The sequence below is a fragment of the Homo sapiens genome, chromosome 1, assembly GCF_000001405.40.
Source record: "Homo sapiens chromosome 1, GRCh38.p14 Primary Assembly".
Taxonomy (NCBI): Eukaryota; Metazoa; Chordata; class Mammalia; order Primates; family Hominidae; genus Homo; species Homo sapiens.
In genome coordinates, this window is record NC_000001.11 from 65570400 (window position 1) to 65589851 (window position 19452).

The following is a 19452-nucleotide window of genomic DNA, read 5'->3' on the forward strand; positions in this document are numbered from 1 at the left end:
CTCAGATACTTTCTATTCATGTCTTAGTCAAAATGATTACTTTTTTCTATGTGTCTTTTTAATATCCTAACAGAATTTATTTATGTGATAACTGCGTTTAACTTGTCATATCCAATTACTCCTTGGAGATTTAAGTTGTCTTGCATGCCACCAAATTCAACCTATGACTACTTCCTTTTGCCTGCTGGACTCTCAAAGAATACTTCAAATTCGAATGGACATTATGAGACAGCTGTTGAACCTAAGTTTAATTCAAGTGGTACTCACTTTTCTAACTTATCCAAAACAACTTTCCACTGTTGCTTTCGGAGTGAGCAAGATAGAAACTGCTCCTTATGTGCAGACAACATTGAAGGAAAGACATTTGTTTCAACAGTAAATTCTTTAGTTTTTCAACAAATAGGTAAGCATTAGCTATGTTTTAAATGTATTGAACAATGTTTTTTAATTCTTTGATACCTGTATGAAATAGATGTCTTATGGCTATGATTTTAACATACATAATCATTTTTATATGGATAATAAAATTAGGATTCATTATGTGAACAAACTAATAAATAATTTCCAAATTATCTTGTATCCCATAAAAATATAATGAGGGAATTATTTTACTTTTAAGTACATTCCTTGTAGTCTTCTAAATTTGCTTTGAAATAGAAAAACACACCTTATTTTTGTTAAATGTATAAAATATCAAATGACTGATAATATTGTTGAATTGGTTAAATTTTAAAATATTCATGAATAATAATAATTCTTCAGGCAAGGAATATCTCTGAAAGAATATACGTTTTAAAGATGGGTTTTTCAGAAAGAATAGCTAATGGATGCTGGGCTTAACACCTAGGTGATGTGATGATCTGTGTAACAAACTGCTATGGTACATGTTTACCTATTTAACTAACCTGCACATCCTGCACATGTACCCCTGAACTAAAAATAAAAGTTGGAAAAACAAAAAAAGAAAAGAAAAAAATTCTTTTTTTTTGTTTAAGTATAATGCATACTGATTGTAGCTAGTGTAGTTAAAAATTCTGCATCTGGAAATATAAACAACAAAATTATCCCAAGTCTTTTGGAAAAGCTAGGAAGAGTGGAGTCAATTGACTCATCCATGTAGAGAGACCTCCAGTATGAAAATACAGGCATATCTTTTCCTCCCTTAAAAGCGTGATGATTGGGTTTTCACATGTATGAGTGAGATGTGCCTCCCTCAGACCTTGTTATGATGTTGGCACATTACCTGTCTAATGTTAAAAAAAAAAAAAAAAGGCTGGGCACAGTGGCTTAACTGCCTGCAATCCTAGCATTTAGGAGGCCTAGGCGGGCGGATCACTTGAGCTCAGGAGTTAGAGACCAGCCTGGGCAACATAATGAAACCCCATCTCTACCAAAAAAAAAAAAAAAAAAAAAAAAAAAAATTAACTGGGCATGGTGGTGCATGCCTCTAGTCCCATCTACTTAGGAGACTGAGGTGGGAAGATTGCTTGAGAGATGGAGGCTGCAGTGAGCCATGATCACATGATCATGCCACTGCACTCCAGCCTGGGTGACAGAGTGACACCCCATCTCAAAAAAAAAAAAAAAAAAGGAAAGAAAAAGAAAAGTGAGAACTGAGCTAGGTGAGTTTTGAGCTCTTTTGTCCTATTTAAGTGGTTTGAAATTAAAGAAAATTTGAGAAGCAATAATTGAATTTAATTCTATTACTTTAGAAAAAAGGAAACTGAGGGCCAGAGGGACTAAGTGATGGGCAAACGCATGCCACTAGTTAAAGCTTGTTCTTTTTCTCTCAGAATAGGCAATGGAAGTTGTATCAGAACACTGGTAAATTTGATTTAGCTCTTCTCTTTCACTGAGTTGTTCAGATGGTTTTTGAGATTTCATGTAGTTGTTTTTTTTTTTTTTTTTTTTTTTTTTTAAATTCAGATGCAAACTGGAACATACAGTGCTGGCTAAAAGGAGACTTAAAATTATTCATCTGTTATGTGGAGTCATTATTTAAGAATCTATTCAGGAATTATAACTATAAGGTCCATCTTTTATATGTTCTGTAAGTACCAAATAATTAATTTGGCATTTCTAATACACAGTTTTTTTAAAAGAGCTTTCATATACGGAAGTAGATTATAAACCTCTTGCATCCCTACATTTCCTATTATATGTTTTATTTTTTAATATAGCATTCTGCTCTGTTAGGTTTCCTCTTTTCTCCTCCTGCTAATTGAGGTAGCAAGACAGTCAGGTTTAGGGTCACGATTGTCAGGTCCATGAGTATACCAAATGTTCAGTTCAAGTTCAGGTTCTAGCTCACACTGAGGTCCGAAGGGAGTGGGTGGATGGGCAATAGCTGAACGAACACTCTGGGGGCCTTAAACAGGTGAAACGTAGTTTTATTCAGCAGCTCTCTATCAGCAGCTTACTCAAACTAGGTCTCTCATTAGCAGCTCTCTTAGCAGCAGCTTTCTCTCACTGTCTGCTCTGTTTTGACTGCTTGGGCCAGCTGCTCCTATGCACAGCTGCACGGCTGGCTCTCTCTTGCCTTCAGGGTCAGCAGCTTAACTCTTTCTCTCTCTGGGCATGAACATGAACCATGCTGTGCCATGTTGTGCCATGCTGAGCCATGCCCTGGCTCCCCTCGTCAGAGCAAGACTGACAGCTCTGGTACTCTCTCTCTGGGTACAAGAGCGCCTGTACAAGAACATCTGTAGAGTGTCAGCAGGGCAATTATACCTTTTACAGACAACAGTGGCATATGGCCAAGGGATGGCCTTCCCATGTTATGGCTACATGGCTGTGATAACAGATGGAGTTATATGCCTGCGCACTACTCGCTGAGTCATGCAGGCCTGGACATCTGCCTTGGCCTGATTCTTGACCGAAGCACATCCATGTACCTTACAAAGATATTGCAGGTATAGGTGGGCATGTAGTCTGAAAGAAGAGTGAACTCAGTTCAGGAGTGCTAGATATTTGAGTGGAAAAGGAAAAAAGGTGCGTTTTATATTTCTTTTTCAGATGATTTTTCGTATTCGATCTCTTTATAAACTTAAAAATATGGGTGGCTAATATTTGTGCTAGAAAGAGAACAAAGATATTGTTTTCAAATAGCCATATACTTATAACTCAAACAGCGAATATGTCATTAAGTTTTCTAATTACTCTAGTGATGATATACACCATTTTTATGTCAATTTTAACTCTTTAAAATTCTTTCTCATTAATTCTTCTATTTGATGCTTAAAGTCTCGCTTCCTTCAGTTCTGCAGTTATTGAGATAATACCGTTGAGGAGCAATGTGCTAGAAACTGTCCCTATACAAATGAATAGAGACAGAAAGTAAAGCGGGGCTGAGAGGAGGGGGAATTGGGGAGTTACTGTTTAATGGATATAAAGTTTCAATTTGGGAAAATGAAAAATGTTCTGGAGTTGGGGAGTGGTGATGGTTGCATAATAACGTGAATGTATTTCATGTCATTGCACTGTACACTTAAAATGGTTGAAATGTTAAATTTTATATACATTTTATTACAGTAAAAATTTAAAAAGAAACTTAAAGACATGTAAAAAAGGATGAATGGTTACGATCACTGTCCTTTAGGTGCTCAAAGGCTAGCAGTTGGGACCTGTATGTACAGAGTTTCAGTTTAAGTGGTTACCGATATGTATTTGGTAGGTACATAATGTCATGGGAGCCCATCATTGTTGTGAGATCTTAGATGGGGGTTATCTAGTTAAGCTGGTGAGAGAAGAGAGGAGGAAAGGTTTCCTAAGGAAGTAGATAGCTGAGTTGAGTCATTAGAGATAAATAAGAGCTAATGAGAAAATATGTGGGCAGTATAGTGTTGGGAAGAGATCAGTATCACCTGGAACCTTGTTAGAAATTTAAATTTGCATGCTAAATGACGAGTTAATGGTTGCAGCACACCAACATGGCACATGTATACATATGTAACAAACCTGCACGTTGTGCACATGTACCCTAAAACTTAAAGTATAATAATAATAAAAAAAATTTAAATTTGCTAGCTCACCCCTGTGAATAAAAAATTAGGGGGGGTGGAGCTCATTAATATATGTTTTGCCAAGTCCTTTGGGTGATTCTGATGGAACTCAAGTTTGAAAATTCCTGCTGTAGAGGTTAATATGACAGATTTTAGAGTCAGACTACCTGGCTGTACCACTTACTAAATGCACTCACAAAGCACTTGCTATGTTTAACAGTTGTTCTACCTCTAGAAATTAACACAATGGAAATATTTACACAATGTTTAAAAATTATTTGTTGAATGAATACATATTGCCAAAATGCTTTCTAAAATATTTTCCAATTTACCCTCCAGAAATGTCTTAATGAGCCAAAAAGTTAATAAAAAAATAATATTGTCTGAAGGTGTGAGTAGTGAGTAGTCAACGGTCAGATATAGCAGGAAGATATAATAAGGTCTGAATGATATGTACGGATTTGGCAGTGTGAAAGTAATGGGTCTTTAGGCAGAGCTCATTCGGGGGAGCGGAAGGAGAGGTTGCCAGAACAAAGGGAAACTTGAAGAAAGGACCCGGAAGAGCTGATCTTTATGCTAGTTCCTCATTCAGTTGATGGGGGGACACTGCAGAGCTGGAATTCATATATCCAAGGCATACTATGGCTGGTGCTGAGAATATGAAAAAAACCTGGTTACTGGGACCAACTGCTGCTGCCCAGGTGAGGAACCTTTGGCTGGAGTGATATTTCAAGAATGGTAGGCAAAACAGGAAGGATCAACTCCCTTGTCACTCCATTATTCTAGTCTCTTTCTAGCTCCCCCACAGGTAGAATTTAACAAGAATTTAGGTAGCAGAGGAGAACTATGGTTTGCAGAGTTCCAGCCCCAGCATGGTGAAACAGAGCATAGGGTGCATTTGAAGATGGCAGTCAATAGCTTAACCACCAGCAAAATTCACTTCATTGGCTCATTGGCTACTTAGAACATTCACACACACCTTTCTACGCATACCTACCTTTCCCTACAACTTCCTTATAACTTCATGCTTTCACTTAATTAAGTGCAACTATACTTTAAAAAAAAAATCAAAAAGATCCTTTATTTCATGTGTATGTAGTATCATAATTCATCAAAATAATTTATAATAGTTAACTGCCCCTCAAATATTGTTTTATAAATGATGCCTTCTGAAGTTAAACATAATGTAGATTCATTTTTTAAAAATTGTCTGTTTAGAACATACTAAACAAATGATAAGTTAAAAAAAAATATAATTCTCTCCTGTGAAGTCTTCTAAGAAAATCATGGCAAGTTCCTGATAAGATAAAAACCATTCCATCATTAAAGGGGATTAAAAAGAGGCATAAATAAATTTGAATAGGAACATCTGTTTGCTGAGTTTTGTCATTGTGTACAAATGAAACTCTAGAGTTAAAATTATATTCTGATTTCCTTCTATAAGCAAGAAATTCCTTAATAGAAGCTCAGAAATGACCTCAGTGCCTTGGTGAAACATACTTCTTCATCTGCGGACACTCAGTGCTCCCATCTCTATCAGATCTGCTGTGTTACCTCTGTTAACATTCCCAGGCATCTCCAGGAAGACGGGAGATGTCATCCTCTCCAAGATGGCTCTACCAAACCAAGGCTTTCCTGGCACCAACAACGTTCTTTCTAAAGCCCTACACTTCACAGAGGAGGCAAAGCCCGACGAAGCACCATTTCTGCCACGGTGTCCACCTTAAGCTTCCAACTGCCACTGTTGTGAGGAGGAGCCATCACAGATTGCCATAGCCACAGAGTCTTCCTGACCCTGTGGAGCCACTGCTCTCAGGCACTGTCCAGCTGACGTCTGGTGTAGCCAATTATTTTCCCCAAAGGTCCATGTCTGCCTGACCCATGGCACTCCACGAGTTGTGGTGGGTCTGATGAGCTAGTTTCTGTCATACCTAGACAAAGAAGATGGTTTAAAACCAATTCATGCTCTTCATTATAAATCCAGATCTGATTTGGGTCCCCATGCTCACAAGTCTTAAGCACTAGTAGGCCTCCTTTCCAACTTGGGCAGCCCTGAGCCACCAGACATTTGTTGGTCTGGAGGTGATAGAGCCTTCCAAGTTGAAGGACTTTGGGGCATTTTGGCCCTCTACTGATAAAAGTGGGTTGCTGGGATTTGTCATGGGTCCCAGATATCTGCATCTTTGGGTAAATATTACCCAAATACCATTCAAATGATTTGCATCCTAACTTCTTTCTCAATTCAACATGCTCACTGATGGTTCCAAAGCTTTTCCTCTCCAGATTAAGTCTTAAGGAAAAATACTGCGCCTTTATTCATCCAGCCAGACATGTGCCAGCTGCAAAAAGTTGTGTTCATGGCATCCCGGCCTTCAGGAGATCCATATGGTCCCCTTTTTTTGGAAAATGTGTCCTACTGTAGAGCAAGGCATGATGAAGAACTTACCTCCACACACCCAGATCTGAAATGTTATTTCCAAGTTTTCTCCTCTCCAGATATCCATGCCAGTATCATACTGTCCAAGTTCCTGGAAATACTGTCTGTTCCTGGCAAACAATCCTCCAGCCATTATCGGTGACTTTGTTGGTGCTGTGGCTTTTTCTGCTCATCCTAGCTCAGAAAGGGGAACAAGCTCCTATTTGAAGTGCAGCCCTCAGTTGAATCCTCCACGGACAACAGAGGATGAGCTGTAGGCTAGCGTGTTGGCACTAATGATATCAATCACTGAGAACATCATGGTCTGCTAGTCCACACAGATGACAGCCAGCAAGGGCTGCTGCCACATCACATTCACTTCAATTGGCTGTCTAGGAACACAAGGACTTCTGTTGTGTGGACTGCTACACTCATTCTTCCTTGAATCAATCCCTCACACTTTATGTTTCTTATACCTTAATTTTTCCAAGGAGGTATTTTTGGACATATTCATCTCGTCCTCCTTTCAAGTCATCAAGGTCGCTAACAACATCCATAAAGATGATTTCATGAAGCAGGTTTGCTGGCATGCAATTTGTGACAATGTGCAGCATCTGGAGACAGGGCAGAAAAAGCTTCATTGTGGAAACAGATAACAATTATGTAAGCAACTGGCAGGTCAGGAGGTAGGACTTTACATGCTGTATTCTTTGTCCCTGGCACATCTCTGTGGTAGCCTGCAGTTACTGATAAGCATATTAAAAGCACATTTCTGATAGCCCGTCTCTCAACTCCTGAGCACGTTAATTAAAAATCATGCCTAGTTCAGAAGACAATTTCAAGTGGCCTTTTTCTGGATCTTCAATATGACCATCACATCATCAATTTTGTTTGCTTCGAACTGTGGCTCTAGTAATAGACTTGGACCTTGAGTGAATCAGGAATAGAATTGTTTTGGAAATGGTCCATGGGGTCCAGGCCCCTTGAGCACATTCTTTTTTTTTTTAATATAGTTTAAGTTCTGGGATACACGTGCAGAAAGTGCAGGTTTGTTACATAGGTATGCGTGTGCCATGGTGGTTTGCTGCACCCATCAACCCGTCATCTACATTAGGTATTTCTCCTAATGCTATCCCTCCTCTAGCCTCCCACCCCCCTACAGGCCCCAGTGTGTGATGTTCCCCTCCCTGTGTCCATGTGTTCTCATTGTTCAACTCCCACTTATGAGTGAGAACGTAGTGTTTGTTTTTCGGTTCCTGTGTTAGTCTGCTGAGAATGATGGTTTTCAGCTTTATCCATGTCCTTGCAAAGGACATGAACTTATCCTTTTTTATGGCTGCATAGTATTCCATGATGTGTATGTGCCACATTTTCCTTATCCAGTCCATCACTGAGGGGTATGTGGGTTGGTTCCAAGTCTTTGCTATTATGAATAGTGGATGAGCACATTCTTAAGTGGCTGAGTCACTTCACCGAAGTTGAAATGAACAAAAACCAAAACTGCACAGGTCACAGATGTAAAAATGTACCCATAACAGAAATATTGAACTGTGACACTTCCCATAATAGACTTAGCATAACTAATGGGCCATTTTCAATTTCTGCAGCACTGGCAGTGGCCTTCCAGGACTCAGGCTGTGGCATCTTTCCTCCTGCCACAGCCCCTGTCTGAGCCACAGGAGCTGCCCAGGGGGTGAGGAGTGGTGGGCTACACTTTGAACAAAAGGAGACAGTCTTATTCTCTCTCCCAAATGGGATGATGCTATGTCACAGTTGTCATTATGTTTTCTGTGCAACATGTACAGTATTGCTCTCTGGGCAGTATTAATTGCTCCTCACATTCAATCACTGTTTCACCTGAATGAATATTGTGGAAGCTAAATATAAAATTGTAAATTTAATAATTCCAGGAATCCTTATATAAAATAATAGGGGGAAGGAAAAGATTGAGAAGAAATTAGTTAATATATAGAAACACACACACACACAAGCATACTGTAAGGGAGGAAATATGCACAGCTGCCACTGCTCTTCTTTCTGTATTGATTACCAGGCTGTAGTTAATATTTATTACTAGTGTTAGACCACTGGACTAATTCTTTAAGTCACCCAGAGGAGGAACCCAGATATAGTGCCACTGCCATCATATCTGGACATTGAATGTCCCTGTGGTCATCATTTCCACATGGAGGTCACCTGATGCCACGACTGATGAACCTACAAGCCCCTGCATCTTTGTGCAATCGTCATGAGGGCTAGTGTCTCAGATGTAGTTATCTAGTTGGTGAGAAGGTGCTCTAGCTGCCAGTGTTTCAGCCTTGTATGATGGTAGATTCTTCAGTCAGATATTGGGCAACCAGCAAGTAGACAAATGTCCTTAACAAAAGTGACTGAGTTATAAATCTCTAGAGGCCTGAGAAGCCTGGCTGGGGTTGGAAAGTGGAGGTGGAAGACTAATGGATAATGAATGTCCCAGGGTGGATAATTAAAGGATGAAATCATGAGTTTGTTTCTAGTCTATAGAAAGTGACCCAGCAGGGAGAGAAAAGTTGATAATCGAAGGGGAGCCATTGAAGATATTTTATTGAGAGTGAATAATGGAATAGGCCAATTCCATGAAAAGAGCACAGGGTTGGTCTTAAAGAAGGTTTACCTCAACTTCTGAGTATTGAGAGAAGAAAGGAAGCCCTATGGTGGATGAAGATATATTTGAAGCTCAGGGCAGTTTCCTGCTTTATTGAGCAAAATAGGCTTTAGCTCAGAGAAAAGTATTCCTTTGCATAGTAGTACCTTCTTGCAATGACCTAAATGCTTTGGATGTGATTAAAAATTCTCACTTGGGTGCCTACTCTAGACAATTTCTGATCTTATCAGCAGGTTAAGGCAAAATGCTCAGTTTTAAAGCCCCGTGAATATGTGTAAGGTCTTAAATTCTATTATGTATATATTATAATTATGATGAGGTATTTTTCTGAAAAAGATAAGTATATGTGTAATATATAGATATATATAATTTCAGAGCATTATAAATTTGAATAGTTACTTAGTTATAGCTGAGAATTTTAGCTTCAGTTTAGTCAGCCAAACAGTCATTGGTCTATTCTTCTAAACAATAGGACCCAGAAGAATGAGAAAATTAGGTAAATTAGGTAGATTTTCAAACTTTCTTACAAGATGATTTTTAATTTGGTCTTCTTTTACTTGGAACCTAGGTTTCTAAAAATATTAGCACAGTAAAACCTGTCATAATTTCAAGGAATTTGAGAAACAGTCTCCCATTTTTTTCCTGCCACATTATATACCTCTATGATTTGGTTAATATGTTCATTGCACCAACTATCACATGCTGTTTCTGCCTTTAATTGTATTTTTGTTTGGCTCTTAAGGCAATGTATCTCCAAACAATTAAATAGGACTCTAATTCAATGGGTAGAGCTGGTCAATATAGGAAGAGCTGGTCAATATAACCAATGAGAACTCCATGGAAGAGAAAATCCATAATGGTGATTACTATAGAAAAGCTTTGAATCAGACTCACCTATTTTGGACATCAGAGAATTCACAAGAGAAATTTTCAAATGCTTCCATGTGTAAAAAAGTATATTTTAAAAGGGATAAAATCTAATGTTTGTAAGGGATTTAAAACCATATAAATATGTCCCTTAAGGGAAAGCTTTGTTTGGGCTCAGATATTAATGTTTGTCAGAGAGTCTGAAGGACAGATACTCTAGAAATGTAATATTTTGAAACTGCTCTGAGATTTTCTCTTAGATCTAGGAAGGAAATTCTCTTTCTTTATTAGGTGCCTACTGTGTGTTCCAGGCACGGAGCTGAGCATGGGGAACAAGGTTCTACAACACAGACTCAGCCCTTGCCCTCCTGGAGCTAACATTCTGTGGTAAAAACAGAAGACATAACAGCAAAGTTTGGAAAGGCTGTGCTGTAATAAATACAGTGCCTTGTGGAAACAAGTACTAGGGATATCCAGCCCAGGTGAAGAGGGGGCAGAGGAGAATGAGCCAGAGAGTGAAGAACATTTGCAAAGGCCCAGAGGCACAGATACCACATGGCAGGACTTGAAAAGTTGAGTGTGGTGGGACTGGGAAGCTGGGGAATGAAGAGAAATCAGGATGGAGGGATACACAAGGGTCAGATTATGAAGGGCCCTCCAGGTCATGCTTGGAGTTTGGGCTTCTATAACTACTAACACCTACTTTACTTTGTTTTCACAATTACTCCTGCCAGCATTCTTGATGATTTCAGCATCCATGTGATTAATCTTCAGTTTCTTGAATGCTTATTTTCAATATTCTTGTATTTTCACACCACTTTGTTCACCCCTTGTCATGGACATGCTCGAGACTTTGTCATCACCAATAAGCATGCTTTTTCTATAATCTCCATGTCAAGAATCCTGCTCTTTGACCATCTCCCCTTGCACCCTTCATGTTAGTTTATTCCCTCTACTACTCAACTTCAGGAATAATTCTCCATGGTTCTTGGCTCCCCCTTCTGGGTGCCAGGTTCTGGCCTGAGTAACCCTCTCTTCTTCATGAAAAGCAGCCCATATGCGCATCTAAGTTGTTTTCACAGCCTGCTTTCCTACCAGCACAATTTTTAATGGTTGAAAGGCTTTTTTTTTTTTTCCATTTTGTTCTGTCTCTGTCTCTTTCTGTCTCTATATTAGCACTATTTCTGCTAATACACTTCTCTCACAAAACTACCTGGACCTCCAGTGGATCTCTCTGGTGTTCACTCCATTAGATATGATAAAAGCCTGCAAATCTCCTAGAGATCTTTTCTCTGTCTTCTCTTTGATCTTTGCTCAGAAGGCATTTCTTAATTTTAACAGTGTTTGCTATCTGGAGAGGCTAGACACTTCAAGACTATGAAGTCCTCTTTCCTTTTGTTTAAGGGCCCTTTCTTCAATGTATATCTCTCCTCTTACAGCAAGAAGAAACCAAGAGACATCCGCAACACTTGCTGGAAATCTCCTTAAATATATCATTCAGTTCAATAGGCACATTCTATACTTTCCACATAACTACAGATGGTAATGTTAATGAGCTCTCTGCTACTACACAAGAAGGACCACTGTTCTCCAGTTTCCAATAAATTATCTCTCACTTCCTTTTGTGCCCTCACTGGCAGAGTCTTTGAAGTCCGCCAGATTTCTACTAACAGCCTGTTCGAGGCAATTTAGGTTTTCTTCACCATGCTTCTCCAAATCCTTCTAGCCTCTGTCTGTCCGCTGGTTCCAAAGCCACTCACACATTTTCAGGTTTTCATTATGGCAGCACCCCACTTTCAAGTTCCAGTATCTGCATTAGTGATCTAATGTCATATAATAAATTAACCCAAAACTTAGTGGCTTAAAACAGTAATCATTTATTATCTCACAATTTCTGTTTTTAAGGAATTCAGCTGCAGCTTAGTGTGGGGTGGAATGGGAAAGGAGTATCTGCTTCAGGGTCTCTTACAAATACTGCACTGAAGGTGTCAGCCACCAGGACTGCAGTCATTTCAAGGTTCAACTTCAGGAGGAGCTAGTTTTGAGATAAATTCTTGGGGTTCCAAGTTCTTCATGGGATGTTGGACTGAGGGCCTCAGTTCCTCCCTGGCTATCGGCTGGAGACCTCCTTCAGTTCCTTGTTATGTGGATCTCCCCATAGGACAGCCTGCACCATTGCAGCTGGCTTTCCTGAGAGTGAGCCAGAGAGACTCACTGATGATCTTGCTTTTTATTTTCACTGAGACAACAGAAGCAGGTGGAGTTTCTCTAATGATTGCTTTTCTCACCCAAATCTACCAGGCTGCCTGTATCAGTGCCCATGCACTTTTCCTCTCTTCTTTTATTGTGAATAAATTCTTTGAGTTCTGATCTAAGGCAAACCCTTTGTTACGTGTTCTGAGTCCCATCTCTTATTGTCAACTCAAGGACTTTCTTGCCATTATCCTCTATTTTCTGCACCATCATGTTTCTCTCTCAGCTAATAGACACGATATAATAACTCCCATTTAAAAAAATAAATTTTCTCTGTTACACATTTCTGTCAAGTAACCACCCCATTTCACTACTTCTTTTAAAGAAAACAAAGTTTTGAATTGTATGAATACATTATATCTTCAAAAGTTAATAAAAAAGTCAACAAGTGACTCTGGCCACGAGGGAATAAGAGGGTCTGGATTACTCTCCTGTGATAAACAACTAGAAAACTGGAAAAAATGTAGGAAATAATTATTTTCAGACATTGGACAAAGACAGACAGAACTGTGATTCCTAAGAGAAGGAAACAAAATGAGTACTCCTAGTACTTAGGCTTTCTGAACTGTAGAAAATTCCCAGAACATGGCACAGAGCTGAGGAACTCAAGCTGAGCCCAACAATCTTGCAGAGATAAGAGTTCAGAGAGGGTAAGGGGCTCAAGTTCATGGGGCAGAGTACTTTGAAAGCAGGAGCATACAGAAAAACTTACAGTGGGGCCACTTTAACTCTTTGGCTGAATATCAATCTGGCCACAATGTTGGGTAAGAAAAACTTCTAGTAAGAGAACAGTTATCAGGGAGCTATAAGCTAAACAATTCACAGAATTCATAGAGGTCTGGGAATCGTTCAAGTTCCCACAAACGAGATTGGAGAGACCTTAATGGGTATCAGTGACATTTCATAGGAACTCCAGAAGAGCTATACTTTAAAGGTGGGGCCAAATTAGCCTTAGAGTCAAGGCTACACTATACTATTCCCCAAAATGCTTAAAGGATGCCCTAAAAGATTCAAATTAGTGCTCAAGTAACTTAACTGACTTTCAGAACAAAATCCAACACTCTTCAAGGCAAAATAAAACAATGTAATATTCAAAAATGAAATAATCACAGTGTCTGGCAGCCAGTAAACACATGCTAGATATATGAAAAGATAGGAAAATGTGACCCATAACCAAGAGAAAAAGAAAAAATAGTCAATAGAAACAGACCCGGAAATGACAGAGATGATAGAATTGGTAGACAAAGACAGCTATCATTAATATGCTCTACATGTTCAAGAATGTAAAGGAAAATATGAATATAATGAGACAGGAAATTGAAGATGTAAAAAAGAACCCAGTGACATTTTTAAAGATGCAAAATGCATTTTTTGTAAACAAAAATGCTAAATATTAATTTGGGCATTTAGAATAATGTTATTCAATAAAATAGTATTTATGGTGTGCAGCCCATAGTGCTAGGCTCTGTAAGGGGTGCACTTTTCATTCTCCTTCCCTTCTTTCCTTTCTATCAGGATGGACTCATGGATTCTTATTTTAGTTTGTGGGCTACAAAAGTTACATCATTTATTTTATTACTGAAATCGTCTTTCTTTCTAGCAGTATAAGATGTACCAGGTTGATCTTATACTTTTCCTGATATAACACTGGAATTAGCCATTTCTCCAAGGAGCCATCGTTCCTTTTGTTGAAGAATGGTATTTACAAACCAGTGTCTGGAGGATAGTTGTTCGTTGTTATTGTTTCTAGCCCTCTCTGTGTGCAGAGCTAGTTAGTGCACACAATATATACACAATGTGTGTACATAATATACACAAATCTATATATCTATATATCTCTGTATGTACATGTATTAAAGGGTGTGTGTTCATACTAATATGTCCCATTCTAGGCCAAAACTGCACAGTCCGTTCTAAACTTCTTTTCTTTCTGTTTTGTAACTTTCTTCTCCAGCAGTGAGAAAGAAACCTGGCTTCCCTTTCCCACAGTGTGTTACTTATTTGCTCAGTGCTAGAATACACACAAAGCAGTTTTAGCATTGCTATCCCATACTGCTGTGAAAAATGAAAACAAGCGTACTAACTGAAGTGCAATATTGTTTACACTCATTTTGCCTTTACTAAGGCTAATGGGTACATGGTCAAATATTATGTTCCAAAGTTAAATAGGATAGGTCTTCCCTCTCCCTTCAGGTGGTTATATTATTAACTTGGTAGACATTAAGTTCTGTTTGTTTCAGTTTGCATTCTTCTTTTTTTCCCACTTTCTCTTCTCTTTGTTGATTTTCCATTTATTTGGTGATATCTTACATCTGAAGAGTACTTTGCATTTTACAAAATGCTTCTTAAACTTTCCTCCTTGATAAGATTTATCTAGGTCAGCACTACTTACTTGGCATTCAATAGGTCTGGGTGGAACTAGATTGCTTGCATTTATTCAGAACATAGATTGCTTAGCTCTGGACCTTCTGAATTCCTCATGGGGTCTAGGAATCTATTTTTTCACAAGTTCTCCAGGTGATTTTTATGATGAGTCTAGTCTGGGACAATAACTCAGTCTCAAATTATTTTGGATTGGCAAGAGAAAATTTTGAGGTAATGTTTTTATAGATTACCAATCTGAAATTTAAAATAAGTGACTTGATTAAATGATTTACAAAACTAATACTAAATTTTCTAATTCCACTTCATTGGTTTGTTCACTATTTTGCTGTCAGTTTACATTACAATCAGAAAATTAGGTGGCACCAATTTGGTGTTATTCCTGTAATAATTTAGCATAGAATTTGCTTGGAGAAGCTTTAATATATTCACATTTTCTGGGAAGAAAAATTGGACCAAAAGTCAGAGGACAGAATGTGCTTTCTTTCTAAACCATGTATGGCTACCAAAAATGAAATTCCAATACTAAAGAATTATATCTCTACCTTTTGTGTAAAAATATTACCAAAAAGGCAAAAATGGTAAAGAGACAAAATTTTAAGTTCATTTGACAACTGTTTTCATACTATTTTCACTTTCAAGTAAAGTTTATTTACATGTAGAGGTATTAAATAAATAGTGGCACTGAGTTTGTATATGTGTATGTATACTGGTAAGGCATAAAATATTTTGTTGCATATAAAATTTTCAAGAATTCCAGAAATTCTTAATGTTTGCTTGTTTTAAGCCAAGTATATCTCCTGTTACTTTTAAAATTTGATGATCCTTTTATTCTCATACTTTAAAATTATCAAATTTGTTAGAGTATGTTTTGATATTAGTAAAAACAGAGTTCTTAACTTCTTATACTGACTTTGGCATGTAACAAGGTTGGTGGATTCCAGGTTTCACACAAACTTGGGAAACTCCTCTCACAAATACAGGAAATAGCTAATGTTTTTCCTTAAAGAAAAGAATCATTTGAAGTAATTATATAATTCTCTAATTTTCCATTTATAAAAATATTGACATGATTCAGGTTATAATTATTTTTTAGTCATGGTTACTATGGTCTTTATTGATCTCTAAATAAAATGGTGATGATAACAGTGAAATTTATCTTGTGACAATAAGGCACGTTGGGTGTAATGAAATGAATATTGAACATGATGCACAAGACTTCAGTTGAGTTCCAGGTCTACCTTCTCTCCAAATCTCAGTTTTCTTACCTGTAAAGTAGATGATGTTAGTTCCCTCAAAGGGTGCTTTGAAAAACTGGATTAGATAATATTACTAAAGGTGTTTCATGTAAATTGTAATAATGAAATTTGATGATATATTTAATGTGCTTTCTCTATTTTTGTGTCCTTTGCCCATCAAATACCCACCAGTAGGGAGTACAAAATACTTTTGGCTTATACCTGGGGAGGGAGAATTTTCTTTTTTCTTAAAGGGCCAAATAGTAAACATTTTGGGGTTTGTGGACCATCCTGTCTTGGTCACAGCTATTCAACTCTGTGCTTGCAGAAAAACAATTATAGTTAGTATGTAAATTGAATTAATGTTACTACATTTATGGGCACTGAAATTTGAATTTCATGTATCATGAAACAGTCTTTTTTTTTTTTAATTGAAAATGTAAGTAACCATTCTTAGCTCACAGGCTGTACAAAAACAGGCAGATGGCTGGATTTGGCCTGTGGGCCAGAGTTTGCTGATCCCAAGCTTAGAACATTTTGAAATTAGTTTTAGATTGATGCTGATAGTGTCATGATGGGGTTAGCTGTTGGCATGGTTACAGAAAGCTTTTTTAAAAACCAACAAACAATGAATTACTATAATGCATATTTTATAATGTAGATACTATATAGTCATTATTAAGGATATATACTCTATATGATGTTTTGCATGTGTATTACAATTATTAACAAAATGAAAAAGAGATTGAATAAATAGAAAATACATCAGTGAAGGGATGAGGAAACCATAGAGTTAATCTGATTTTAAATTCGCCCTTTTTTACAAATATTCAGTGTATTTAGAAAAGGATGGCTTTGGCAAGACCATCTAAAGTAAGATGATGTGATTCTAACTTTTCTTTTTGTCTTAAAATATGACTAAAATTTTCTATCATTTAAAATGTTAGCAGAGAATATATTTGTTGTTTTGTGCTCAACTTAGGCAAATATTCTTGCTTTAAAATTCTGAAGTTTTTCAGCCAAAGCATAATACCTTGCAAGAATGTTTCCGACATAAAACACCACAATTTATTCAATTTGTTCACAGACTTTTTGTAAAAGCTTTTATTTTAATATTTGAAAAACACCTAAAAGGTCTGGCTTGATATTTTTAAAAATTACATTTTGTTTGCTTTGCTTAAAGATTTAGATAAAATCGAAAGTGCTAAATCAGGCTACCTCTAATTCAAAACAATATTTTATGGGTGGATAGCATTTTACAGTTCTCAAAAATACTTTTATGTGATTATTGTCTTTGATATTCACACCCTTGTAAACATAGATGGTTCGGGGATTGTCTTGGTTTTATTGATTCAGGAACCTGAGGCTCACAAATATAAACTTACTTGTCCATGATCCTATGGCTAATAAGCAAACAGAAGTACTTGATTTTAGATCTCAATGTTAATTTAGTGTGCTTTTGACACTAATATCCCCTATACAGTTCCCAGTAGATTCCTTGGCACATTAAAGCCATGCAAATGTTGTTTCAGGGTTGATTTTTTTTAGTAGTAAAGTAATAATAAATTCTATTACTTGAAAATATATCATAATTCAAAACATTTCATATTAGTGGGGTATGCAGAGAAAGACTAGGGTCTATTTTTCATGTTTTTTATATCTGGATGCTCATATATATGCTAGTTTATTATAGCTTCTAAAGCAACACTTTTCCATACTGATTTTTAAATTATTACATTTGTTAATTACAGTGTTTTCCCTCTACAAGGACTGCAAGATTTCTGAAGGCAGTGATCATGCACTATCTCCCTATCCCCAGGTTCTTTGAAAAACAGTGTGGTTTCGATATGAGGTAGCAGATATTAATGGATAGAATGGGGCAGCACAGGTGAGATGGGTAGACAGAGACACTGTTACTCCACACTCTTCTCCCCACTGCTCTTATTCTATAGTCACTTCATTTACACCAAGACTTAGACTCCCTAAAGGATGAGGCAGATTTATAAAAAATCTAGTAAGTAAGAAATAACAACTGTCTGTTCTTGGTTGCATGCTATTATTTTTTATGCCCTGTATTTGGTAACCCTACCCAGCTAATTATAATTTTTTTTTTAAGATTGACCTACTTATTTGAAGGTTTAAAATGATAGGCAAGGTATTGCTTACAAAAATTTCCTGGATTTTCTTTCTTTTTGTAAATAGTTTTATTGAGGTATAGTTGATATATAATAAGCTGTACATATTTAAATTATAAATTTGACAAATATTGATCTGAGAAATCACTCATAAAACCATCAGTATAATAAAGAAAGTGAATATATCATCAATTAGAAAATTTCTTCCTGCTCCTTTGTAATCCCACCCTCATGCTCCTACCATTGGTACTTCCTCCTCCCACCCCACCTCTGTCCCCAGGGAATGGCTGATCTGATTTCTAGCACATAGCCTACTATTACTCTAGCATTTTTTAGAACTTTATATAAATGCAATCATACAGTACTTTGTTGTGCTTTCATATACATGATTATCTTGAGATTCATTAATGTTGTTTATATCAGTATTTCATTCGTTTTGATTGCTGAATAGCATTCCACTAAATGGTTATATTGCAATTTGTTCATCCATTCACCTGTTGATAGGCATTTAAATTGTTTATAGTTTTTGACTGTTACAAATGAAGTTGTCACAAGTGTTAGAATTGAAATATGTTTTCATGTCTCTTGGATAAATGCCTGGGCATGGAATGGGTACATCATGTGGTAGGTGTGTGTTTAACAACTTAAGAAAGTGCCAAACTGTTTTCCAAAATTGTATCATTTTACATTCCCATCAGCAGTGTAAGAGTTCCAGTTCCTCCACATCTTCACCAATACTTGGTGTAGTCAGTCTTTTTTTAAAATTTTAACCATTCTAGTATGTGGATAGTGATATCTCATTGTGATTTTAGTTTGTGTTTCTTGAGTGACTAATGATGTTGAGCATCCTTTCATATGCTTATTTGCCATAACTATGATTTATATGGTGAAGTGACTGTGTAACATTTTGCCTATCTTTTTAACTGGGTTGTTTGTATTATTATTATTTAGTTTTGAGTATTGTAGATACCTTATGTATACAAATCTTTTATCAGATAGATAATTGGCAAATATGTTCTCTGTGTATGGTTTGTCTTTTTGTTATCTTTCATAGTGCTTCTCAGAAAACAACTTTTCAATTTTGATAAAGTCTAATTTATCAGTTTGTTCTTTTATGGATCATGCTTTTTGTGTCATATATAAGAAATTTTTAATTAACACAAGGTCACAAAATTTTTTACTTATGTTTTCTTCTAGAAGTTTCATAGCTTTAGGTTTTACATTTAGATTTATGATTCATTTGGAATTAATTTTTGTATCTGATGTGAGGTATGGATTAAAGTTCTTTTCTTTTATTGCATATAGATATTCCATTGTTCCAGCACAATTTATCAGAAAGATTATCATTTTTCCACAGAATTTCTTTTGTGCCTTTGTAGAAAATCAGTTGTCCATGTAAGTGTTAGTCTATTCTAGACTCTATTCTGGTCCATTCATTTACTTTTTTTTGTTTTTACATGAATACTTCATTGGCCTGATTATTGCAGCTTTATAATACATTTTGAAGTTAGGTATT

At 36.8% G+C, this 19452-nt stretch overlaps 1 protein-coding gene, 1 non-coding gene and 1 pseudogene across 7 annotated transcripts in view; 2 read left to right on the top strand and 1 right to left on the bottom strand.

Moving 5' to 3' along the window:
• The window catches only part of LEPR (leptin receptor), a 220908-nt gene that overhangs the window by 149748 nt on the left and 51708 nt on the right, over positions 1 to 19452 (top strand). For all 6 annotated transcript variants that reach the window (NM_001003679.3, NM_001003680.3, NM_002303.6 and 3 more), the window contains 2 exons: positions 74 to 403; positions 1927 to 2050. In NM_001003679.3, coding sequence (NP_001003679.1) covers positions 74 to 403; positions 1927 to 2050 — 454 coding nt within the window. The remainder of the gene's footprint in view (positions 1 to 73; positions 404 to 1926; positions 2051 to 19452) is intronic.
• Positions 1150 to 1253, top strand: LOC124904827 (small nucleolar RNA U13). The gene has a single exon (XR_007067423.1). It is a non-coding gene; the product is annotated as a small nucleolar RNA U13 (small nucleolar RNA).
• LOC100422694 (polypeptide N-acetylgalactosaminyltransferase 11 pseudogene) lies at positions 5555 to 8100 on the bottom strand (annotated as a pseudogene).